General features: G+C 48.0%; 1 protein-coding gene and 1 pseudogene across 17 annotated transcripts in view, besides 2 other annotated features; both read left to right on the forward strand.

Annotated features, from left to right (window-relative positions):
* Positions 7,317 to 7,376: an enhancer, noted in NCBI's record as "active region_11022". NCBI's record gives its function as "activates an Ori minimal core promoter by ATAC-STARR-seq in GM12878 lymphoblastoid cells {active_cell/tissue: GM12878}" and the evidence as "EXISTENCE:reporter gene assay evidence [ECO:0000049][PMID:35858748]".
* Positions 7,847 to 7,906: an enhancer, noted in NCBI's record as "active region_11023". NCBI's record gives its function as "activates an Ori minimal core promoter by ATAC-STARR-seq in GM12878 lymphoblastoid cells {active_cell/tissue: GM12878}" and the evidence as "EXISTENCE:reporter gene assay evidence [ECO:0000049][PMID:35858748]".
* Positions 10,819 to 24,346, forward strand: part of ZFP90 (ZFP90 zinc finger protein) — a 43,028-nt gene continuing 29,500 nt past the window's right edge. For 5 of the 17 annotated variants that reach the window (NR_130976.2, XM_047433639.1, NM_001305206.2 and 2 more), the window contains exons 1-2: positions 16,631 to 16,819; positions 17,098 to 17,165. Coding sequence is in view for 14 of the 17 variants with exons in the window: in XM_047433639.1 (XP_047289595.1) it covers positions 17,133 to 17,165 (33 nt within the window). In the remaining 3 variants the exon portion in view is untranslated. Of the gene's footprint in view, positions 11,196 to 16,630; positions 16,828 to 17,097; positions 17,166 to 24,346 lie in introns of those variants that run through there. The other 12 variants (XM_047433640.1, NM_001305204.2, NM_001305208.2 and 9 more) reach the window with 5 other exon arrangements.
* On the forward strand, positions 12,855 to 13,001 carry RNU4-36P (RNA, U4 small nuclear 36, pseudogene; annotated as a pseudogene).

The following is a 24,346-nucleotide window of genomic DNA, read 5'->3' on the forward strand; positions in this document are numbered from 1 at the left end:
GATTGCACCACTGCACTCCAGCCTGGCGACAGAGCAAGACTCCGTCTCAAATAAATAAATAAATTCAGATACAAACATAATTCAATAAATATAGCATGAGAACAATCTTGTTTAATTTTTTATTTTTTATTTTTTTTGGAGACAAGTTCTCACTCTGTGGCCCAGGCTGGAGTGCACTGGTGCGATCTCGGCTCACTGCAACCTCTGCCTCCCGGGTCCAAGTGATTCTTGTGCCTCAGCCTCCCAAGTAACTGGGACTACAGGTGCATACCACGAGGCCCGGTTAATTTTTGTAGTTTTAGTAGAGATAGGGTTTCGCCATGTTGGCCAGGCTGGTCTCAAACTCCTGGGCTCAAGCAATCTGCCCGCCTCAGCCTCCCAAAGTGCTGGGATTACAGGCATGAGCCACTGCACCTGGCCCAAATTTGTTTAATTTCTAGTCCCTCACTCTTTCTCTGCCCTCCTTCTCTATCCTGTCCTTGGCTCATTTTGTCCACTTTCTTTCTTTTTTTTTTTTTTAAGATGGAGTCTTGCTCTGTTGCCCAGGCCTGGAGTGCAGTGGCATGATTTCGAACAGCCACCGGGCCAGGCTATTTTTAAAATATTTTTAGTAGAGTTGGGGTTTTGCCATGTTGGCCAGGCTTGTCTCGAACTCCTGGCCTCAAGCGATCTGCCTGCCTCGGCTTCTCAAAGTGCTGGGATTACAGACAAGAGCCACCATGCCCGGCCTTGTCCACTTTTTTGTTTCTAAACACAGTCCTCTGCTTGGCTGCAAAAACCCTCAGATGCCATCTGTGTCTTGAATGGCTGCGTGGGATCAGTCCCCTCCCCACAACCAGCCACATCCCAGGGTCATTGAATATCCTCGTCTCGGGGGCACAGAGGTATCTGGGGAAAGCCTTGCCTGGGTGGACATTCATGACTTCAAGCCCATGAGGAAAGCCTGTGATAAAAGAGACCAGGTGAGGGCAAACATGGGATGCTAGGGTGGCCGGAGTTGGTTCCCGCTGGTGGGTTCGTGGTCTCGCTGACTTTAAGAATGGAGCCTCAGACCTTCGCAGTGAGTGTTACAGCTCTTAAAGATGGCATGGACTCAAAGAGTGAGCAGTAGCAAGGTTTATTGTTAAGAGCAAAATGACAAAGCTTCCATGGTGTTGAAGGGGACCACCGCTGCTGGCTGAAGGGGGTGGCCAGCTTTTATTCCCTTATTTGTCTTCTCCCATGTTCCGTTTTTGTCCTATCAGAGTGCCCTTTTCTCAATCCTCCCTGTGATTGGCTACTTTTAGGATCCTGCTGATTGGTGTGTTTTACAGAGCGCTGATTGGTGCATTTTACAATCCCCTTGCTAGCTACAGAGTGCTGATTGGTGCGTTTTACAATCCTCTTGTAAGACAGAAAAGTTCTCCAAGTCCCCACTCGACCCAGGAAGTCCAGCTGGCTTCACCTCTCGCTCGGGTACTCCTGGGGCCCATCCATCAATTGACGAAGGGACAAGTGACTGGCCTGAGCAGGGCCTCTCTGGGAAAGTCAGGTGGCTGAACTGGAGCCCAGTGTGAGGTCTCCTGACTGCTGACCCTTGTTACCCACAGGGACTACATTGCCTTGAGGTGACACCACTTGGCTCTGGCCTGAGTCACCGCAGTTGAGATGAATCAAGAGTGTGTGGAAGGTTGGGTGCAGTGGCTGATGCCTATAATCCCAGCACTTTGGGAGGCAGAGGCAGGAGGATCACTTGAGCCCAGGAGTTCAAGACCAGCCTGGGCAACATAACGAGACCCCATTTCGATATACATGAAAATATATAAAAAATAAAGGGTTTGTAGAGCCCTTCAGAATGACCCAGGGTGGCAGAACACCAGAGGAACTCAGACAGCTGGGGCTACTAGGTGCTCAGTGAACTTTTGTTGAACTGAAAGTCATTTTCTGGGGCTTATGGAGGTGTCAGTAACCTAAGATCAGACCTATCAGACGTCACCACAGGGTGTCTGTGACAAGGCGCCAGATGCTCACAGCTGTGTGGGTCTGGGGAACTGAGTGCCCGGTTTTTTTTTGTTATCTGCCCTCCCCAACATATATCTGAATAAGAAACTTTAATTAGACTGAACTAATGACAAACTGTGGTAAAGTTTTCCATACAATAGCATAGTCTTCAGCAATAAAAGGGAATCAATTATTAATATGCATGATGACTTGGATGGACTTCAAGGGTGTTATTCTGAGTAAAAAGTAAATACAATCTTAAATGCTCATATACTGCATGATTTCATTTATATAACATTTAAAAGTAATAGAGATTTTAAAAGTATAGAGATGGAGAATAAAGATGTCATGGATTAGAGAAGGAGCTAGAAAGGGTATCACCATAAGAGAGTAGCCCAGGCCGGGCGCAGTGGCTCACGCCTGTAATCCCAGCACTTTGGGAGGCCGAGGTGGCCGGATCACAAGGTCAGGAGATCGAGACCATTTTGGCCAACATGGTAAAACCCCGTCTCTACTAAAATACAAAAAATTAGCCGGTCGTGGTGGCGTGCACCTATAGTCCCAGCTATTTGGGAGGCTGAGGCAGGGGAATCGCTTGAACGCGGGAGGCGGAGGTTGCAGTGAGCTGAGAAAACGCCATTGCACTCCAGCCTGGGCAACAGGGCAAGACCCCATCTCAAAAAAAAAAAAAAAAAGAGAATAGCCCAAAGGGAGTTTCTCTGTCGTAATAGGAGTTTTGTATCTTAAATTTACCATGGTTCTATTAATATATACATATGACAAGGTGCCACAGAATTATAAACAAAGACATAAAAAATATATGCAAAGCAGGTAAAAATCCAAGTAAGGACTTTAGATAAATATATTGTGCCAATATCAATTTCCCGATTTTGAGAATGCACTAGAATTATGTAAGGTGCCAGTATCGAGGGAAACTGGGTGATGGGTACACGGGACCTCTTCGTTCTACTTTTGCACTTCTTGTGAGTCTGTCATTAACTCAAAATCAAAAGTGTAACAAAATCTGTACTAGCTTTATTCTGTTTTGAATATTTTGAGTTCGGGGGTGGCTAGTGTCATGGAATATTATCCGGGACTCTGGTTGCAGCAGTCAAAGAACCCATTTTATTTATTTGTTGACTTTATTTATCTGTATTTGAGACAGAGTCTCCCTCTGTCGCCCAGGCTGGAGTGCAGTGGCACGATCTCGGCTCACTGCAGCCTCTGCCTCTCAAAGCGATTCCCCTGCCTCAGCCTCCTGAGTAGCTGGGATTACAGGCGCACACCACCACGTCTGGCTAATTTTTTGTATTTTTAGTAGAGACGGGGTTTCACCATGTCGACTAGGCTGGTCTCTAACTCCTGACTTCAGGTGATCCACCCGCCTCGGCCTCCCAAAGTGCTGGGATTACAGACGTGAGCCACCACGCCCGGGCAGAGAACCTATTTTAAACTGGCATAGGACAAAACAGGAAGAAATTATTGGTGCATATAATTAAACTGTGAAACTAGCAGGGCTAGAGCTGCACACAGGGCCAGCTAACTCGGGACTGGCACAAAAAGAACTCTCTCTCTCTCTGCCGCCTCCTCTCCCTTCCCTCCTCCCATCCCCCTCTCCCATCTCCTCCTCTCCCATCCCTCATCTCTTCCTCCCCACTCTCTTTCTCAACCTGCACTCTGGACTCCTCTCTGTGTGTTGGCTTCCAATCCTCACAGCCCTGCTGACAATCTAGGGGGAAAGGCTTCCTTCTACAGAGCATCTACATAAAACATCAGAGGGAAGCATCTGATTGGCCTGCTTTGGGTCACATGGAGTCTGTGATTAACCGCGTCACCAGAACTTCATAGAGGAGGAAGAAGAACTGCCCCTAAAGGAAGAGGGTGCTGTTACTGAGAGATGAGAGAAGGGATGCTGGCTGGGGTAGTGAGAGGTGACAGCATGCTGGCAGCCCTCGCAACCCTCGCTGGCTCTCAGCGCCTCCTCGGCCTTGGCACCCACTCTGGCCGCGCTTGAGGAGCCCTTCAGCCCACCGCTGCACTGTGGGAGCCCCTTTCTGGGCTGGCCAAGGCCGGAGCTGGCTCCCTCAGCTTGCGGGGAGGTGTGGAGGGAGAGGCGCAGGCGGGAACCGGGGCTGCGCACAGCGCTTGCGGGCCAGCGCGAGTTCCGGGTGGGTGTGGGCTCCGCGGGCCCTGCACTGGGATCGCCTGGCCAGCCCGCAAGCCCTGGGCAGTGAGGGGCTTAGCACCTGGGCCAGCAGCTGCTGTGCTCGGTTTCTCGCCCAACCTTAGCTGCCTCCCCGCCGAGCAGGCTTGGGACCTGCAGCCCGCCATGCCTGAACCTCCCCCCGCCCCAGGCTCCTGCGCAGCCCGAGCCTCCAAGACGAGCGCCGCTCCTGGCTCCACGGCGCCCAGTCCCATCCACCGTTCAAGGGCTGAGGAGCGTGGGACCACGGCGCGGAACTGGCAGGCAGCTCCAACTGCAGCCCCGGTGCGGGATCCACTGGGTGAAGCCAGCTGGGCTCCTGAGTCTGGTGGGGACTTGCAGAATCTTTATGTCTAGCTAAGGGATTGTAAATACACCAATCAGCACTCTGTATCTAGCTCACAGTTTAGTAAACACACCAATCAGCACCCTGTGTCTAGCTCAGGGTTTGTGAATGCACCAATCGGCACTCTGTGTCTAATTAATCTGGGGGGACTTGGAGAACCTTTATGTCTAGCTAAGGGATTGTAAATACACCAACCAGCACTCTGTATCTAGCTTAAGGTTTGTAAACACACCAATCAGCACCCTGTGTCTAGCTCAGGGTTTGTGAATGCACCAATCAGCACTCTGTATCTAGTTACCCTGGTGGGGACTGGGAGAATCTTTATGTCTAGCCAAGGGATTGTGAATGCACCAATCTGCACTCTGTATCTAGCTCAAGGTTTGTAAATGCACCAATCATTTCTCTGTGTCTAGCTCAGGGTTTGTAAATAAACCAATCAACACTCTGTATCTAGCTAATCTAGTGGGAATCTGGAGAACTTTTGTGTCTAGCTCAGGGATTGTAAATGCACCAATCAGCACCCTGTCAAAACGGACCAATCAGCTCTCTGTAAAACAGACCAATCGGCTCTCTGTAAAATGGACCAATCAGCAGGATGTGGGTGGGGCCAGATAAGAGAATAAAAGCAGGCTGCCCGAGAACCTAGCGGTAATTCTGCCGCATTCTCTTTCTTCCTGTAGGAGCTTTATTCTTTTTGCTGTTTGCAATTACTCTTGCTAGTGCTCACTTTTCAGGCTCATACTGTCTTTATGAGGTGCAACACTTTCCAGGGAAGTCTGCAGCTTCGGTTCTGAGGCCAGGAAGACTATGAACCCACCAGGAAGAACAAACAACTCCAGACGTGCGGCCTTAAGAGCTGTAACGTTCACTGCAAAGACCTGCAGCTTCATTCCTGAGCCAGCGAGACAACGAAACCACCAGAAGGAAGAATCTCTGAACACATCCGACCATCAGAAGGAACAAACTCCGGACACAACACTCACTGTGAGGGTCCACAGCTTCATTCTTGAAGTCAGTAAGACCAAGAACCCACCAATTCTGGACACAGGAGGGGGGAGATCCACATTACAACATACAAAATAGGTAAATGTACATATTGATTAATAGAAATGTACATATTCATTAATATAAAATTAGTTCCTAAATCTATTGGGTATAAGGAAACAACTTTCTAATGTAGTTAAGGTTTCAGTGTGGTGGCTTGCACACACACTGTTGGTTATCAGACCAGCGCCAGCCAGTCTTAACCACAGAGGGGCATGATAAGCTCTGGAGAAGAGAGATGCTGAGCCTTCAGGGTCAGAGGCAGGCCAGAAGGGACCTTGGAGGGCCCTTGAAGACAAAATCGCCAGAGGCTCAACTGTGACATGGGAGGGTATACAGCTCTGGGGACAGTGGCTTCTGGGATCCTGGATGACACTTGGTGTCAGAGTGGGCTTGGCAAGTTTCTTAAATTCTCTGAACCTGTTACCCCAGGTGTCAAATGGGGATGAGAATATCTATCTCACAGGTTGTTAAATTCAGTTGAGATAGTGTGAAGTGCCTCGCCTGGTCCCCTGCTGGTGTTGCTGCTTGGTTGGCTTTACAGCAGTAGTGCGTCGCAGAGGACGGCAGGTGGCGCTCGAGCCCAGCAGTTTTGAGATGCACGCCCCAGAAGGTCGAGGCAAAACAGGCGCCTGGTGTCAGTAGAGGAAAGGTAGCCGAGGTGCTGGGACACGCTTTCGCGAGGTCAAAAGCTAGTGGGCGCGCATTTCGGCCTCAAACGCTGCAGAGAGGGTCAGAAGCTACCCAGGTCCCACTTAGTGGTTCAGCCTTGTTTTCTTGTCAGGGGATCCCGGTTCCCTGTTGCTCTGGGAATCGCAGGTTCTCCAGCTTAATAGAAGCGGATCTGGCTATATTCGTTGAGTCCCATCTCTTCTCACCGTTTTCATGGAAACCAGAGGGTGGGGCACTTTATTGAACGTTTTAAGTTACTGGAAGTTGGATATCCAGAAGGCTGGACCCACGCCGGGTCGAGTGAGGAACTGGAGGTCCAATCCACGGGGATGTTAATGTGTTTTGTTTTGTTTGTTTTTTTGAGACAGGGTCTCTGTCACCCAGGCTGGAATGCTGTGGCACGACTATAGCTCACTGCAACCTCGATCTCCTGGATTCAAGCAATACTCCTGCCTCAGCCTCACAAGTAGCTGGGCCACCACGCCTGGCTAATTTTTGTTTGCTTCTGTTTTTGTTTTGTTTTTGTTGTTGTTTTGTTGTTGTAAAGACGGGGGTGGGGGGTGGTCTCACTGTGTTCCCCAGGCTGGTCTCAAACTCCTGGGCTCAAGCGATCCCCTGGCCTCGGCCTCTCAAAAAGTGTTGGGATTACAGGTGTGAGCCACCAAGCCCGGTCCCTTGTAGATGTTTTTCTTTTTGTTTTTTAATTTTTGTGGGTATACAGTAGGTGTATATATTTACGGGGTCTATGAGATGTTTTGATAGACATGCAACGTGAAATAAGCACATCATGGAGAATGGGATCCTCGTGGATATGAAAGATAGAGCAGGCAACAAGAAAGGCAGTTGACGTTAACGACGGGTCCCTGATGCTCTCCCAGGCTGGGTTAGGACTAGGTCCCGCTGAATGCCTCATCCTCCGCCCTCCAAGCCCAGGAGTGCCTTCTTGCCCACCGGGGCGCGGGGTTTGAAGAGGCTTTGAGGCACCACTTGGGCACGTGGAGACCTCTGCCAGTCTCTCTCGTCCCGCCCCTGCGTTCCCGGTTTCCAGGGGACTTGCGAGTCGGTCTTTTCTGCCTTCGAACTCTTGAGTAGCTAGCAGAACCCGGAGGAGCTCTCAGAACCCCAGGCCGTTGTCATGGAGAGAGCGCGCGCCCAACTACGTGGCTTGTGATTGGCTGGGAGGCACGCCCCCGCCCTCCCCTTCCAGCCCGTGGCTCGGCGACTTACAGGGAGGGAGAACATGGCTGCTGGCTTTTAGCACCTGGTGGGTTTCGCGCCTTGCAACTCGACAACTGCCGGGACGGAGTCTGGCTGCGCGACCCCCTGCGGCAGGTGCTGGGCGAGGCGCCTCCCCTGCAACTAGCCTGCCGCTTCCCTCCCGGCACCCCCGCCGCCAGCCCCGAGCGCGGACCTGGAGCGGAGAAGAGAGGTCGGTGCCTCCAACCCGGGGCCGCGGTCGAGGGGCGCGCGTCGTTGCTCTGGGACTCACTGTCGACCAACCCCCATTCCTCAGGGGCTCGGCTCCTTCCCCAAGGCTCAGGACGTAGAGCTTGGGCGGGGCCCCCTGCCCAGCAGCAGTCAGCGGAGCTGCACGAGTCAGACTCCACTTCTGGTGCACCTGGTACCTTGGTGCGCTGGGCTGAGGGCTTAGGGGTGGTTCTGGTTGGGGTGGCGTTTTGGATCTGTGAGCAGGAGCCGATGAATTCCCCCGAGTGTGTGTGTTCGTGTGTGTCTCCGTCTGTGCAGAAATCCGAGCCAACCACTAGAGCTCTGTGAATGGGGAGAGCTTCACTCTCCAAAATATCCAGTTGGTCCCCTCTCCCATAGCAACTCCAGGTTTTATAAATAAAAATTTTTGAGACCGGGTGCGATGGCTCACGCCTGTAATCCCAGCACCCTGGGAGGAGAGGCGGGTGGGTCACTTGAGCCCAAGTTGGAGTACAATAAAGCCAAAAGTGTAAACAACCCACATGCCCACCAACTGATGAGTGACTAGACAGAATGTGATATGTCCGTATAATCATATTATTCAGTAATACAAAGGAATGCGTTGGTGATATGGGTTACAACATGTATGAACCTCAGAAGCACTACTGTTATAGGAAAGTGGTCCCTATCCAGACCCCAAGAGAGGGCTCTTGGCTGTCTAGCAAGAATTTAGGGCGAGGTCCACAGTGCAAAGCAAAAGCAAGTTTATTAAGAAAGTAAAGGAATAAAAGAATGGCTATGCCATCAACAGAGGGCTGCTGGTTGCCCATGTTAATGGTTATTTCTTGATACGCTAAACAAGGGGTGAATTATTTATGTCTCCCCTTTTTAGACCATTTAGGGTAACTTCCTGATGTCATGGCAGTTGTAAACTGTTATGGCGCTTTTGGGAGTATAGCAGTGAGGACGACCAGAGTCACTCTTGTTGCCGTCTTGGTTTTGGTGGGTTTTAGCCAGCTTCTTTACTGCAACTTGTTTTATCAGCAAGGTCTTTATGACCTCTATCTTCTGCCAACCTCCTATCTCATCCTATGACTTAGAACGGCTTAACTGTCTGGGAGTGTAGCCCAGTAGGTCTCAGCCTCATTTTACCTAGCTCCTATTTAAGATGGAGTTGCTCTGGGTCACACGCCTCTGACACGACAAGTGAAAGAAGCCAGTCACACACATACAAATATATACCGCATGACCCCATTTATGTGAAATGTCCAGAATAGGCAAACTACATAGAGAAAAAGTAGAGCAGTGGTTGCCTAGGACTGCAAGGTGGCAGGGTAGGATTAGGGAATGGCTACTAATGGGCATAAGTTTTCTTTTGGGGATGATGAAAATGTTCTAGAATTCCATTATAGTGATGGTTATATAACTCTCTACATCCAGTAAAAACTACTGAATTGTACACTGTAAACTGTGAGCGCTATAGTATATGATTTATATCTCAGTAAAGCTGTTAGAAAAAGAAAGGGCCTGGTGTGGTGTCTCACGCCTGTAATCCCAGCACTTTGGGAGGCCGAGGTGGGTGGATCGCCTGAGGTCAGGAGTTCGAGACCAGCCTGGCTAACATGGTGAAACCCCATCTCTACTAAAAATACAAAAATTAGCTGGGCGTTGGGGCTGGCGCCTGTAATCCCAGCTACTCGGGAGGCTGAGGCAGGAGAATCGCTTGAACCCAGGAGGCGGAGGTTGTAGTGAGCCAAGATTGTGCCATTGCACTCCAGACTGGGCAACAACAGCAAAACTCCGCCTCAAACAAAAAAAAAAAAAAAAAAAAAAGGAAATGGGTGGAGTGGGGAGAAAGGTGGGATGTAGAGAAATTCTAGGAGTTCCAGAAAAGGCAGTATTGGTAGCCAGTGGAGGAAAGAGTTCCAGGGAGATAAGTGCCATAAAGCATTAGATAAAATCTGCCTGATGTCCAGTCAGGTCATCAACTAGCTAAATCACTGGACATGTTGGGAAAATCAGTATCAGAGTAAGGTGAAGGTAGAAGCCAAACAACAGTCAAAACAAGGCATGAAGGGGAAGTGAGGACTTGGTCTTCACAAGATGGTATACTTTTTCTAGAAGTTCAGATGAAACGCATAGGGGTAAAGAAGAATGGGAGCTGAGAGACATCTGGGGACAAGAAATCTGTGTGTGTGTGTGTGTGTGTGTGTGTGTGTGTGTCTTTCAGAAGGGACAGATTTAAGCATGGTTATAAGTCCAATGGAAAAAGCCAAAAGGAAAAAAATGTGAGATGTAGAAGAAATATGGATGATAGATTAGAAGGGATTGGGGACCAAAGACCCCGAGAGAGCACGTTTCTCCAAATCAGCAAAGGAACATCTGTCTCTAAGACTGGAGGTGAAGTGGAGAAGTGGGTTGAAAAGTGGGTATAAAAATTGTCAACAGGCTCATTTTCCCAGCAATTTTCAGCTGGCATGATACTGGACTTTGTAGGTCAGTTTCAACACAAGTGGGGATAAAAGAATCAAGAGCCCTGGTAGGAAAAAAGTTCAGTTGACTGGCTGTGAGGTCTTCATAAAGGAGAAAGAGAAACAAATACTGACATTCAGAGAAAGTGAGAGACCGAGAGGCCATAGGGACCTTTGACATATAGTCAACCCACTGAAGTCCCTCTTTATCCTCCAAAACAATATAATAATCTTAGAACCTTTAATCTCTCATCAGGAGAACCTTGATTTTTTTCTGTTGACCTGGATTTTAGTTTCATCTTTTTTTAAACCCACAAGACATAATCAATAGTTTTATATAGTCAATTTTAATTTAGATTTACACGTAGATTTACCACTTTTTTTTTTTTGAGACGGAGTCTCACTCTGTCACCCAGGCTGGAGTGCAGTGGCGCGATCTCGGCTCACTGCAAACTCCGCCTTCCGGGTTCGCGCCATTCTCCTGCCTCAGCCTGAGTAGCTGGGACTACAGGCGCCCGCCACCACGCCCAGGCTAATTTTTTGTATTTTTAGTAGAGATGGGGTTTCACCGTGGTCTCGATAATCCTGACCTCGTGATCCGCCCACCTCGGCCTCCCAAAGTGCTGGGATTACAAGCGTGAACCACCGTGCCCGGGAGGTAGAGTTACCACTTTCTTTGTTCACTGTTTCCTTGTCTATATATGACTGCATGTGGAATCATTTTCCTTCCATTTGAAAGACACCCAACTTTAATGAGTCTCTGTTGATGACATTCTGTTTTTTGTTTTTCCAAAAATCCCTCTATTTAATCCTCATTGATGAAGATATAATTCTAGCTGTCTTCCATTGTTGCCATCTTCTAATTCTCCTTTTTTGTTGTTGTTTTGAGACAGAGTCTTGCTCTGTTGCCCAGGCCGGAGTGCAATGGTGCAATGTCAGCTTACTGCAACCTCCACCTCCCAGGTTCAAGCCATCCTCCTGCCTCAGCCTCCTGAGTAGCTGGGAGCCATCACGCCCAGCTAGCCATCTTCTAATTTTCATTCCTTCAAAGGTAATCTGTTTTTTCTCTCTAGGATTTTAAAGATCATCTTTGGTGTTCTATAGTTTCACTATGATGTGTTTCAATGTAAATTTATTTTTATTCATCTGGCTTGGAGTGGCAGGATTCCAGAATCTTTATATCTTTAATCAGTTCTGGAAATTTTCAGCCTTTATCTTCTCAAATATTGCCTCAATTCTCTTCTTTTTCTGGAACCCAGATTAGATTGTTATAGCTCTCTGCCTTTTTTAAACTTTTTTTTATCTCTTTGTCCATTTGTGGATAATTTCCTCAGATCGACCTTCTATTCACTAATTTTATCTTCGGGTGTGTCTAATCTATTATTAACCATGTGCATTACATTTTTAACTTAAAGATTTTCTTTCTTTCTTTTTTTTTTTTTGAGACAGCGTCTCACTGTGTAGCTCAGGCTGGAGGGCAATGGCGTGATCTCGGCTCACTGCAGCCTCTGCCTCCTGGGTTCAAGTGATTCTCCTGCCTCAGCCTCCCGAGTAGCTGGGACTACAGGCGCATGCCACCACACCCGGCCAATGTTTTGTATTTTTAGTAGAGACGGGGTTTCACTGTGTTAGCCAGCATGGTCTTGATCTCCTAACCTTGTGATCCACCTGCCTCGGCCTCTCAAAGTGCTAGGATTACAGGCGTGAGCCACTGCGCCCGGCCATTTTTAAAATTCTATTTGGTTCTTAAGATTTTGGACTCTTGTTCTTTATTCATATGTCCAACCCCTACTTTAGTTTATTAAAATAAATTTTTGACAGCCGGGCACAGTGGCTCACGCCTGTAATCCCAGCACTTTGGGAGGCCGAGGTGGGTGGATCACGAGGTCAGGAGATCGAGACCATCCTGGCTAACACAGTGAAACCCTGTCTCTACTAAAAATACAAAACATTAGCTTGGCTTGGTGGCAGGTGACTGTGTAGTCCCAGCTACTTGAGAGGCTGAGGCAGGAGAATGGTGTGAACCTGGGAGGCAGAGCTTGCAGTGAGCTGAGATCATGCCACTGTACTCCAGCCTGGGTGACAGAGCAAGACTGTCTCAAAAAATAAATAAATAAAAATAAAATAAATTTTTGAAACATATTAGACATCATAAATTTTGTGTCTGACAACTCCCTATATTTGAGGTTGTTATGAATATTATACTATTTTTTCTGTCATTCATGGTTCCATGTTTTATGCATGTGCTTTGTGTTTGTGATTCATGGCTGTGAGCTCATATTTCTTGGGATTATATCTGGGGAAGTTCTTTGAAGCCTGGACTGAAGGTAAGTTCTCCCAGACTGGATTTATGTTTGATTCTGCCAGATGCCTGGAAGCACTGTTAGCCGAGAACCAATTTAAACTACATTCTCAGCTTGCAGTTTTTTGGACCACCCAGGGACTGTGAATACAGGCTGTAATTCCACATAGGAACCAGGTTTGGTTACAAATTCTCGGGAAAGATATCCACCAACGCCCCTACTCATTGTCAAAGTTTGAAACAGGTAATTTACCTTGCAGTCTCTACCATGGGAGTATTCATCTATGGAGTCCCAATTTTTACTGGGTGGGGTGGGGAGTGTCTCCTATTAGATACCCTGCTTTGGATGGGGTCTGGGTTTTGTCACTTGGCTCTTGTGCCTACAGGACTATGAAAAACAAAGCTCTTAGCTTTGTGCAGTGGCAGTATCTTAACCAATGAGGTTTATCTGAGGCACAATTATTGCTAATTGAAAACTTTTCCCAACACTGCCATAATGACTTGAGCTATACTAGGCATTGGCAATTTAATTTTTGACAGTCTCTACGGAGACTGAAATAAAAAAAAAGAAAAACAAAGCTCAAGTTTGCCTCATTTGGCAAATGATTCCCAGGTGAAAGCTAGCGTTCCATGTTCTGCCTACTACTCTCTAAGTTTATTCATTTTGTTTGGGTTTGGGCTTCTCGGTATTCCCTACCAATTTTCTAGCTCATCAATACATTTTAAAAGATTTTTAAGTTATTTTATCCAGCATTAAAGTTGCTGAGCCACACTCCCAGAAGCAGAAGTGCATCTGTGAGTTCCTTAAAGGAAACCAATAGATACCTGACTTGGAACACCCGGCTCTGCTTCAGCTTCCTTCAGTCTCCAAATGGGTGTGAGCTGAAGTTCTCACACCCAGTTAATTCCATAGCCTCTTACTATTGTGAACTGCGCACCTTTCCCCTGGGGGCTAAAAGCCCAATTATTTTCCAGTACATGCACTTTCTACACAAACAGCAGAAATTCAGGTTGCTCTCCTTACAAACAGCGTTGTTCTCTTTCCCTTTTCTCTGGGAGGTACCAGTGCAGGTTTTAAAACCTCTGCTCTCCTGGGTAGGCTCAATGTTTGAGTGCTCTTTCTCACATTCATCTTGCAAGTAGGAGCGGTGGTGAACGCTGCCTTCCGCACTAGGTGGAAGGCTTACTCGTCTAAGGAATTCTTTTTCTTTCTTTTGAGAGAGGGTCTTGCTCTGTCACGCCAGCTGGAGTACAGTGGCACGATCTCAGCTCACTGCATCCTCAACCTCCCCTAGCTCAAGCTGATTCTCCCACCTCAGCCTCCCCAGTAGTTGGGGACTACCGGCATGCCACCACACCTGGCATTATTATTACTATTGTAGAAACAAGGTCTCACTATGTTGACCAGGATGGTCTGGAACGCCTAGGCTCAAGCGATCCTCCCTCCTCAGCCTCCCAAAGTGTGGGAATTATAGGCCACTGTGCCTGGGTACGGATTTTTCCTTTTCTTTCCCGTCATACTCTTATATAGCCTGGGAAAAGAGGGGTGGCATTGCGTCAGTGGTTAATAGTAACAGCAAATTCAGAATTCAGCACCCAGCTTCCTTTGATAAGACCTGAGAGGTTCTCACCCCAAATGTTTTCATCTTTCCTTAGAATGCAGAACTTAATCCTCAACTCTTGAGACCTGGTTACCAATTCTGGGACAGTAGGAAAAATTCCTCTTATTCTCTCATAGTAATAAGTGACTCCACTGCTGTTACTAAGCCAATGGCTCTCATCACACTCAAAATCCACACCCCTCATCACAACCTCCAAAGCCTTGTTCCATCAAGTCCCAGTCTACCTGCCCTACCTCTGCTCTGCTCACTCTCTTATCCCTCACTCTGCTAAGGTACATTAGGCATCTATCTGTTCCTAAGCACACCAAGCTTGTTCCCATCTGACAGCTTTTGCACCTTCAGTTTCTTCAGCCTGGAATTCTTTTCCCCTTATGCACCTGCAGTTGTTTTGTTGTTGTTGGGCTTTTTTTTTTTTGAGACAGAGTCTCCATCTCTCACCCAGGTTGGAGTGCAGTGGTGCAATCTTGGCTCACTGCAACCCCCACCTCCCAGGTTCAAGCGATTCCCCTGCTACAGCCTCCCAAGTAGCTGTGAGTACAGGCGCACGCCACCACACCCTGCTAATTTTTGTATGTTTAGTAGAGATGGGGTTTTACTATGTTGGCCAGGCTGGTCTCGAACTCCTGACCTCAAGTGATCTGCCCCCCTCAGCCTCCCAAAGTGCTGGGATTACAGGCGTGAGCCACCATGCCCAGCCTGCAGTTGCCTTAAGTTGCAGCTACTAAGTCACTTGCCTCAGAGAGGCCTCCCGGTCCACTCTAATTCATACTTGTGAATTATGCATTCTGCTAATTCCAGACCACTATATTCACAAAGCAGTGATAGAAAGCATTCATTAATTTTTATATATATTTTTTGAGACAGTCTCGCTTTGTCGCCCAGGTCGGAGTGCTGTGGTGAAATCACAGCCCACCACAACCTCTGCTTCCCGGGTTCAAACGATCTTCCCACCTCAGCCTCCCAAGTAGCTGGGACCACAGGCGCACACTATTGCAACCAGTTAATGTTTGTATTTTTTGTAGAGACAGGGTTTTGCCATGTTGCCCAAGCTGGTCTTTTAATTCCTGGGCTCCTCCCTCCTCAGCCTCCCTGTGCTATTGACGTGTTATTTCATTACTTGTTAGCCCCTTGCGCAGGATTTTGTGTTTGGGACAAGCCAACAGTGATGGAAATTTTCTCCCTTTTTTGTTTTGTTTTTTTTGAGATGGAGTTTTGCTGTTGTTGCCCAGGTTGGAGTGCAATGGTGCAATCTCGGCTCACCACAACCTCTGCCTCCCAGATTCAAGCGATTCTCCTGCCTCAGCTTTCTGAGTAGCTGGGATTACAGGCATGCGCCACCAAGCCTGGCTAATTTTGTATTTTTAGTAGAGACGAGCTATCTCCATGTTGGTCAGGCTGGTCTCGAACTCCTGACCTCAGGTGATCCGCCAGCCTCAGCCTCCCAAAGTGCTGGGATCACAGGCTTGAGCCACCGCACCCGGCATAAAGCATTTATTTTTGAATGTTCATATTTTTGATAAAGCAGTGTGACATCAGGAACATTTCGTTGCAGTCATTTTCTACCATGTTGGTATGCAATGCTCTAATGTTAAGAAATCAAGCTGAAATCTAGGAAATGTAGCCTGAATGTCTGTGATATATAAGACATAATTACATAAACGTAATAGCTGTATCTAAAAGTTGACCTATCTTTGTGTTGAAAATTTCCATCGGGCCGGGCGCGGTTGCCCATGCCTGTAATCCCAGCACTTTGGGAGGCCGAGGCGAGTTCGAGACCAGCATGACCAACATGGAGAAAACCTGTCTCTACTAAATATACAAAATTAGACGGGCCTGGTGACGCATCGCATGCCTGTAATCCCAGCTACTCGGGAGGCTGAGGCGGGAGAATCGCTTGAACCCAGGAGGCGGAGGCTGCGGTGAGCCAAAATCGCGCCATTGCACTCCAACCTAGGCAACAAGAGCGAAACTGTGTCTCAAAAAAAAAAAAGAAAATTTCCATCATTGTTTGCTTGTCCCAAACAAAATCCTGCGTAAGGGGATACGAAGTAATGAAATAACACGGCAGTAGATCTGCCTTTGCACATTGCTCAGGAGGCCACGGATTTGTCCGAAGTTTCTTTTTTCTCTAAAATGAGAAATGGAAAATTGCCTTTTGAAGAAGATGTAAATGCCCCACCCTCTGACGCTGTCTCACTCCCTTCCTGTGTCACTCTTACCGCTGAAGTCAGGACCTGACATTATCTTGTTGACATGTTTGCGTTTTTATCGTCAGCCTCGTCGAAAGGGGCGTACGATTGCTCCCCGAAACCAGGGTCTTTCCCGGCCGATTCCCCAGCTAGCAACAAGCCCCTTGCAAAGAGGAGGCGGACAGTGACTGGAATACAGGGACACGCACACTCGAGCCACACTGGCCGCCTCCCTCGGCCCTCGCAAGGGTCCCTAACGCGCCTTCGGAAGCCGCCTAGGCGGGGCCTGCGCGCGCGGGCCTCTGGGAAGTGTAGTTCGCGCGCCCGGCGTGGACCCGGGGTTGCAGGAGCGAGGCTCCGAGTGCGCAGGCGCACTTCCAGTTCTGCCCCACCGCTGCGGCCATTGTCCGACCCCGGTGCGGCTGAGGCCCCTTTGGGCAGCCCCTCCGCAGATCAGAATTGGAGATAACCGAGGCTTCGGCGGGGGCGGGAGGAGCTGCCCGAGGCTCTGGGTGGGCCGGAGGTCGCGAAATCCGGAGCCCCCCAGAGGCGGTGATTCTGAGTGCGCGGGTCTGGGCGGGACCCCTCCTGGGTTTGGCGGGTGTCAGCCGGGCCTCGCCCACCACCCTGCGAAGGGGACTGGGCGTGGCCGGAGGGGGGTGTCCGGGAGGCCGCTGAGCCTTTCATTTCGGGGATGGGGAGCGGCAGGCCCGGGCTGGTTCCACGGTCCTCGCCACCATCTCCCCTGGAGATGTGGTTTAGGGGCGGAGGTGGGGCGGGGCGGGGCGGGGTGGGGTCGGTGTTGCAGCGGGGTGAGTGGGCCCTGTCCTTTCTCCCCAGCTCCTGCCCCGGAGCCGGGCCCTGGCGAGGCAGGAATGGCCCCGAGGCCTCCGACCGCCGCGCCCCAGGTGAGCAACGCGTTCCTAACCTCCTGGGCATCCCATCCATCTATCCATCCCATCTCCCAAGGGTGTTTGGAGCAGTCATTGTTCTCTGCCTGGCGACTCCCTTACTTGCTTGGCTCGATCGGAGCCTCCTGGCCATGGAAAACCCCAGGCTTTGGGGAGCTGGATTCCCAAAGGGGAGGCTGCTCTGTGGGGTAGAGAGGGCCAGTGTGGTGCGATCTTGTGGGAGGAGTTGAGATTGGATGCGTTGGGAAGTGTCAGTTTTGAGAGTCCTGAATGCCACGCCAGTTTTTTGAACTCTTGTCAATAAGAAATGGAGAGAGTGGGGTCACAGGATGGAACACTGTAGAGGAGGAAGTGACTGTCGGCAAGTGTGGAGAGAGGAGCCCCAGCTTCTGACCCAGGGCCCATAGAGAGTCCGTAAGGGGCCGTAGAAGCCTGGTTAGAACATGTCTAGGAAGAGGCTGGAGATGGGCTTTCTTGGGCAAGGAGGCAAAAACAAAACAAAATAAAAAACAACCAAAAATAAAACCAGGGCTGATTCTCCCAGAGCTTTTTGTGTCTGTCCTTTTCTGCTTTAACAAAAATGTAATAGAGCAACTCACTCCCCACCGCCAGAAGTCCAGCCTTCACCTTAATGTGAGGCTGATTCGTGAACCCATTTATTCTTGTGGCAGAGGGGGCATTTTCTAGAAGCGTCACAACTCTAAGGTTATCCATTGATTTACATATTGGTGAAAATACATCAAGATCCAGATGGTATCTGTATCTTTGAATCTACATTCTCTTTAGAATTAAGGGAAAATGACAGATTGTAGTTGCTAGGTGTGTGAGACATCAAGATCAATTCAAATAAAAATACCAAGTTGCCAGGTACAGTGGGTCACACCTGTAAGTCCAGCACTTTGGGAAGCTGAGGCAATAGGATCGTTTAAGCCCAGGAATTTGAGACCAGCCTGGGCAACATAGTGAGACTCCGTCTCTGCAAAAAAAAAAAAAAAAAAAAAATTTAAAAGATAAAAACACCAACTTAGTAATGTCCTTTAAAAGAGCAGTTTATAGTGAATTAAGCATACAATACATCATGCCTTTTTTTTTTTTTTTTTTGAAACAGGGTCTCTTGTCACCCAGTCTGGAGTACAGTGACATGATCTTGGCTCACTGCAACCTCTGCCATGGTGCACGCCACCATGCCCGGCTAATTTTTGTATTTTTTGGTTTATTTTATTTTTTGAGACAGTCTCATTCTGTCACCCAGGCTGAAGTGTAGTGGCATGATCTCGGCTCACTGCAACCTCCACCTCCTGGGTTCAAGTGATTCTCCTGCCTCAACCTCCCTAGTAGCTGGGATTAACAGGTGTACACCACCACACCCGGCTAATTTTTTTGTATTTTAGTAGAGTCAGGGTTTTACCATGTTGGCCAGTCTGGTCTCGAACTCCTGACGTCAATTGATCCGCCCACGTTGGCCTCCCAAGGTGCTGGGATTACAGATGTGAGCCACCACGCCTGGCCTAATTTTTGTTTTTTTTTGTAAAGATGGGGTTTCTCCAGGCTGGATTTGAATTCCTAAGCTCAAGTGATGTGCTCGCTTCAGCCTCCCAAAGTGTTGGGATTACAGGTGTGAGCCACCACAGCTGGGCATGTGCCACCATGCCCAGCTAATTTTTGTATTTTTAGTAAAGATGGGGTTTCACCATGTTGGCCAGGATGGTCTCGATCTCCTGACCTCCCAAAGTTCTGGGATTACAGGCGTGAGCCACCGGGCCCGGCCTGCGTTTTTATATATATATATACTTCTTATTATATGTTTCTGTTTTTACAGGGATGAGCCTTAAGGAGTAAGACACCTGCCAATACTAAAACAAGACAGTTACTTGGTTTGAGGAGAGCCAGAGCACATCATGATCGTTATCCCCTTTACATGCAAAGTATCCTCCATAGGCTTGTGAGAATTAGATGACTTAACACCTCATCAGGGACTCTGGTCTTTTCCATAGTGGGAGGATACCTTTTTAGTGGTGAAAGTGGATTCATGTTCTGAGCAGTGAATTTTAAGGACCACTGTAAACTTGACTTTTCAAGCTATGTTCCCTGAACGCCCTGGCTCAGTTGCATTCTCATTGAATGGCCTGATGATGTCCATGTGGGTTATCTAACTCAGGCTGCAGATAACCAGGGATGAAGGACAGAACAGAACACTGGTCCTAAACGGGGCTTTTCAGGCAGAAATTTCCCTTTAGCAGTGGTTCCCTGAGCATGACCCTCAGGGGAATGCAAAGATTAGTAATGAGTCCTGTGACTGCTTAACTGTAAAGTTAATTTAGTGGGAGCAGACAGTCTCCTGCAGAAGTAGAGCGCAAGAGAGCTGGTGTCAAGTGTTGTTGCGGAGGTCCAGAGGCTGCTTGGAGTTGAGAGGGACCAGGACATTCTGCCGGTGGGAAGAAGTCAGTGGAGTTTTCACCTTTGAATAGGAGCAGAGTCTAAGCAGGTGAAAACAAAAGGGGACTGTAATCCCAGCACTTTGGGAGGCGGAGGCAAGCGGATCACTTGAGGTCAGGAGTTCGAGACCAGCCTGGCCAACATGGTGAAACCCTGTTTCCACTAAAAATACAAAAATTAGCTAGCCATGGTGACGGGCGCCTGTAGTCCCAGCTACTAGGGAGGCTGAGGCAGGAGAATCGCTTGAACCTGGGAGGTGGAGGTTGCAGTGAACCGAGATCCTGCCACTGCACTCCAGCCTGGGTGACAGAGTGAGACTCCATCTCAAAAAAACCAACCCCAAAAAACAAAAGGGAGAGGGTAGAGCTGATTGATTTGGTGAATCGGGAGTTGGGAGGCAAGAAGATGGCGGTGCATGTTCATTAAAGCATTTTCTTTGTAACACCAGCTGTGGGCTGCTGGCAGTGGGTAGAGGAGAATAGAAGGAGTTTGGACTTGTTCTTTTTGGCCTTGTAACTCGTTCATTCATCATTCATTCATCTACTCATTCACCAGGTAGTCATTGAGCCCTATGATGTGTCAGGCACTTTTCTAGGCAGTTGGGATAACTTCAGTGAACAAAATTAGGACCCTGCTCTCAAGGAGCTTACATTCTAGAGAGGACAGACAGAAGAATTCAGTAAATAAATAAATTGTATGGTATCCTAGAAGGCAGTAGTATCTCAAGAGGGAAAAAAGGTAGAGAAAGGTAAGGGGGTCTGAGTGGGGAGGTGGGAGGTTTGTAGTCGGGGTGCAATTTAAAATGATGTGGTCAGGGTAAGCCTTATCCTTATTGAGATGGTGACACCTGAGCAGACTTGAAGGCGATGAGGGAGTAGATGTGTAGGGGAAGAGTGCTCTGGGCAGAGGGAACAGCCTAGCGGCAAGATGTATGTCTGGTGTATTCAAGGAGCAGCAAAGAGGCCAGTGTAGCTTGAGCTGGTGATTTGGGGCAGGGAACTAATACAACTTCATAGATTTTTTAAAAGATTGCCATGAATGATGAATCCTAGGATAAAAAGTTTGATATTATATTTGATAATAGTTCCTTTAGAGAGGTGTTTTGATGAGTGGGACCTTTCCCCTGAACATAGTTAACAAATTCCTGAACTGGCTCCACCTGAAGCGGGATGGGACTAGGAGCAGAGATGGAGGAGCCGGGATACCCATTTAGAATGTTTACGTAGATATAGCTGTGTATTTATAGGATTGTTAGTAGCAATGTCTATGTAAACATTATACATCCTTATTTGCCTTTTTTTCTTTTTTTTTTTTTGAGACAGAGTCTTGCTCTGTCGCCAGGCTAGAGTGCAGTGGCGTGATCTTGGCTCACCGCAACCTCTGCCTCCCTGATTCAAGCTATTTTCCTGCCTCAGTCTCCCGAGTAGCTGGGATTACAGGCATGTGTCACCACGCCCAGCTAATTTTTGTATTTTTGGTACAGACAGGGTTTCACCATGTTGACCAGGATGGTCTCGATCTCCTGACCTCATGATCTGCCTGTCTCAGCCTCCCAAAGTGCTGGGATTATAGGCGTGAGCCACTGTGTCTGGCCTGCCCTTTTTTTTTTTTTTTTCGAGGTAGAGTCTTGCTCTATCAGTGTGCAGTGTGCAATGTTGTCTCGCTGCAACCTCTGCCTCCCAGGTTCAAGCAATTCTCCTGCCTCAGCCTCCCAAGTAGCTGGGATTACAGGTGTGCACCACCACGCCCGGCTAATTTTTTGTATTTTTACTAGAGATGGGGTTTCACTATGTTGGCCAGACTGGTCTTGAACTCCTGACCTCAAGTGATCCACCCACCTTGGCCTCCCAAAATGCTGGGATTACAGGTGTGAGCCACCACACTGGCTGGCCTCTTTTTCATAACATGTGTACTACATTTTTAGTTAGGAAACAAAAAAGGCATTTGCCATTCTTAAAGTTGAAGCCACCAGAGCAGTAAGAAATGAGAGAAGTTTTAAGCTAGGTGTGGTGGCACACACACCTATAGTCCCAGCCACTTGGGAGGCTGAGGTGAGAGGATCACTTAAGCTCAGGAGTTTGAGGCTACAGTGAGCTATGATTGCACTACTGCACTCCAGCCTGGGCAGCAGAGAGACATCCCATCTCAAAACAAACAAACAAAAAAACAGAAAAGAGAAATGAGGGAAGTTTTATAAGGAAAATGCTTCATATGGAGAACCAGATCTCTTCATGTTAGAGAAGAGATTTCCTTGATAGAGAGGAAATGGGGAGGAGGGGTCAGGGCCTGGTCTCTGTTGACTCTGGATTACAGAAGCTCTGGTTAGATCATCAGGGTGAACAGACCCAGCAAAACCTGGCTTAGGTCACCCAAACTTAGACAAGATGCTTCTGGGGCCACCAGGGGAAACCAGACCACTTGCTGAATCAGGTCAGGATGTTTGTAGTCAAGGATGTCCGAGCTCCCTCTGTCCAGAGGTTCCCCTTCTCAGCTTCAGCCTGAGCTGACAGGAGGTGGTCTCTAAGTCTCAGCTGAGATTGCACCTTCCCGTGTAACGTTAGGTACCGCTCCTGTGTGTGCCCATAGCACCTGTGAACACCTTTTTTTTTTTTTTTTTTTTTTTTTTTTTTTTTTTTTGAGATGGAGTCTCATTCTGTTGCGCTGAAGTGCAGTGGCGTGATTTCGGCTCACTACAACCTCCGCCTCCCGGGTTCAAGCGATTCTCCCGCCTCAGCCTCCAGAGTAGCTGGGACTACAGGCACGTGCCACCATGCCCAGCTAATTTTTTGTATTTTTAGTAGAGATGGGGTTTCGTCATGTTATCCAGGATGGTTTCGATCTCCTGACCTCATGATCCGCCCGCCTCGGCCGCCCAAAGTGCTGGGATTACAGGCATGAGCCACCGCGCCCGGCCCATGCACTCCTATTATAATATTCTTACATGGAATGGAGTGGTGCATTTACCCAGCCTTCTCTGTACCAGGTTTTGTACTCTTTCAGAGTAAGGCCATTTGACCCCTCCCTTCAACCCCTTGCCCAGACTAAACACGAGGTAACATGATCATTCAGAATCACTTAAGCCCAAGCAGCAATTTTATACTTTCTGCTACTAATATAGCACAAATTATATTTTCCAGTCACAATGAGCCTATTTTATTTTCTGATAAAATGATTACATGAAACAATGTGATTTGCACTGAACAGTTTTTAAAAAATTTGTCTTTAGGATGTTAGGATGTCAAAACCTGTTCCTCTAAGAACTGTTTCAAGCCAGGCGCAGTGGCTCACGCCTGTAATCCCAGCACTTTGGGAGGCCGAGGCAGGTGGATCACGAGGTCAGGAGATCGAGACCATCCTGGCTAACATGGTGAAACCCCGTCTCTAATAAAAATACAAAAAAATTAGCCAGGCATGGTGGCCGGTGCCTGTAGTCCCAGCTACTCGGGAGGCTGAGGCAGAAGAATGGCATGAACCTGGGAGGCGGAGCTTTTAGTGAGCAGAGATCACGCCACTGCACTCCAACCTAGGTGACTGAGCGAGACTCCGTCTCAAAAAATAACTGTTTCAAAAATAAGATTCTTTTCCTTACTTTTCCGTGTTGTATTACTTTTGTTAAAGTATATCTTATGGCCGGGTACAGTGGCTCACACCTGTAATCCCAGCACTTTGGGAGGCCGAGACAGGCGAATTGCATGAGCCCAGGAGTTCGAAACCAACCTGGGCCACATAGTGAAACCCCATCTCTACTAAAAATACAAAAATTAGCCAGGTGTGGAGGCACACGCCTGTAATCCCAGCTACTTGGGAGGCTGAGACATGAGAATTGCTTGAGCCCGGGAGGTGGAGGTTGCAGTGAGCTGAGATTGCACCATTGCACTCCAGCCTGGGCGACACAGCAAGACTCTGACTCAAAACAAAGTATATTTTATTAAAGTATGTGAGCATATATAATATTAGAGACTTTTTACCTTTGATATAATCTTTGTCAGTTTTTATAAATTTTGATAAAATACACATAAGACAATCTTAAGTGTACAGTTCAGTGGTATTAAATACATTCATATGTAATGCAGCCATCACCACTACCCATCTTCAAAATTCTTCATCTTGTAAAACTGAAAACTCTACAATCCATTAAACAATAACTTTTCATTCTTTCTTCTTTCAGCCCGTGCAACTACCATTCTGCTTTCTATCTCTATGATTTTAACTACTCTATCTCATATAAGTGGAATCAAACAGTATGTTTTGTTTTGTTTTGTTTTTTATTAAGACGGATTCTTGCTCTGTCACCCAGGCTGGAGTGAGTGGTGCAATCTCGGCTCACTGCATCCTCAGCCTCCTGGGTTCAGGCGGTTCTGTCTCAGCCTCCTGAGAACTGGGACTACAGGCATGCGCCACCACGCCCAGCTAATTTTTGTGTTTTTAGTAGAGCCAGGGATTCATCATGTTGGCCAGGCTGGTCTCGAACTCCAGACCTCAAGTGATCTGCCCACCTCAGCCTCCCAAAGTGCTGGGATTAGAGGCGTGAGCCACCACGTCTGGCCAAAATCACACAGTATATCTTTTTGTGGCTGGCTTATTTCACTTATTATAATGTCTTCAAGATTCATCTAAGTCGTAGCATATATCAGAACTTTCTTTTAAAGGCTGAATACAGTGCTTTAAAATAAAAGCCTTTCTAAGGCTAAATACAATTCCATTTTGCTTATCCATTCATCCATTGATAGACACTTGCTTTG

This window comes from Homo sapiens, chromosome 16 (genome assembly GCF_000001405.40).
Source record: "Homo sapiens chromosome 16, GRCh38.p14 Primary Assembly".
NCBI classification, from domain to species: domain Eukaryota; kingdom Metazoa; phylum Chordata; class Mammalia; order Primates; family Hominidae; genus Homo; species Homo sapiens.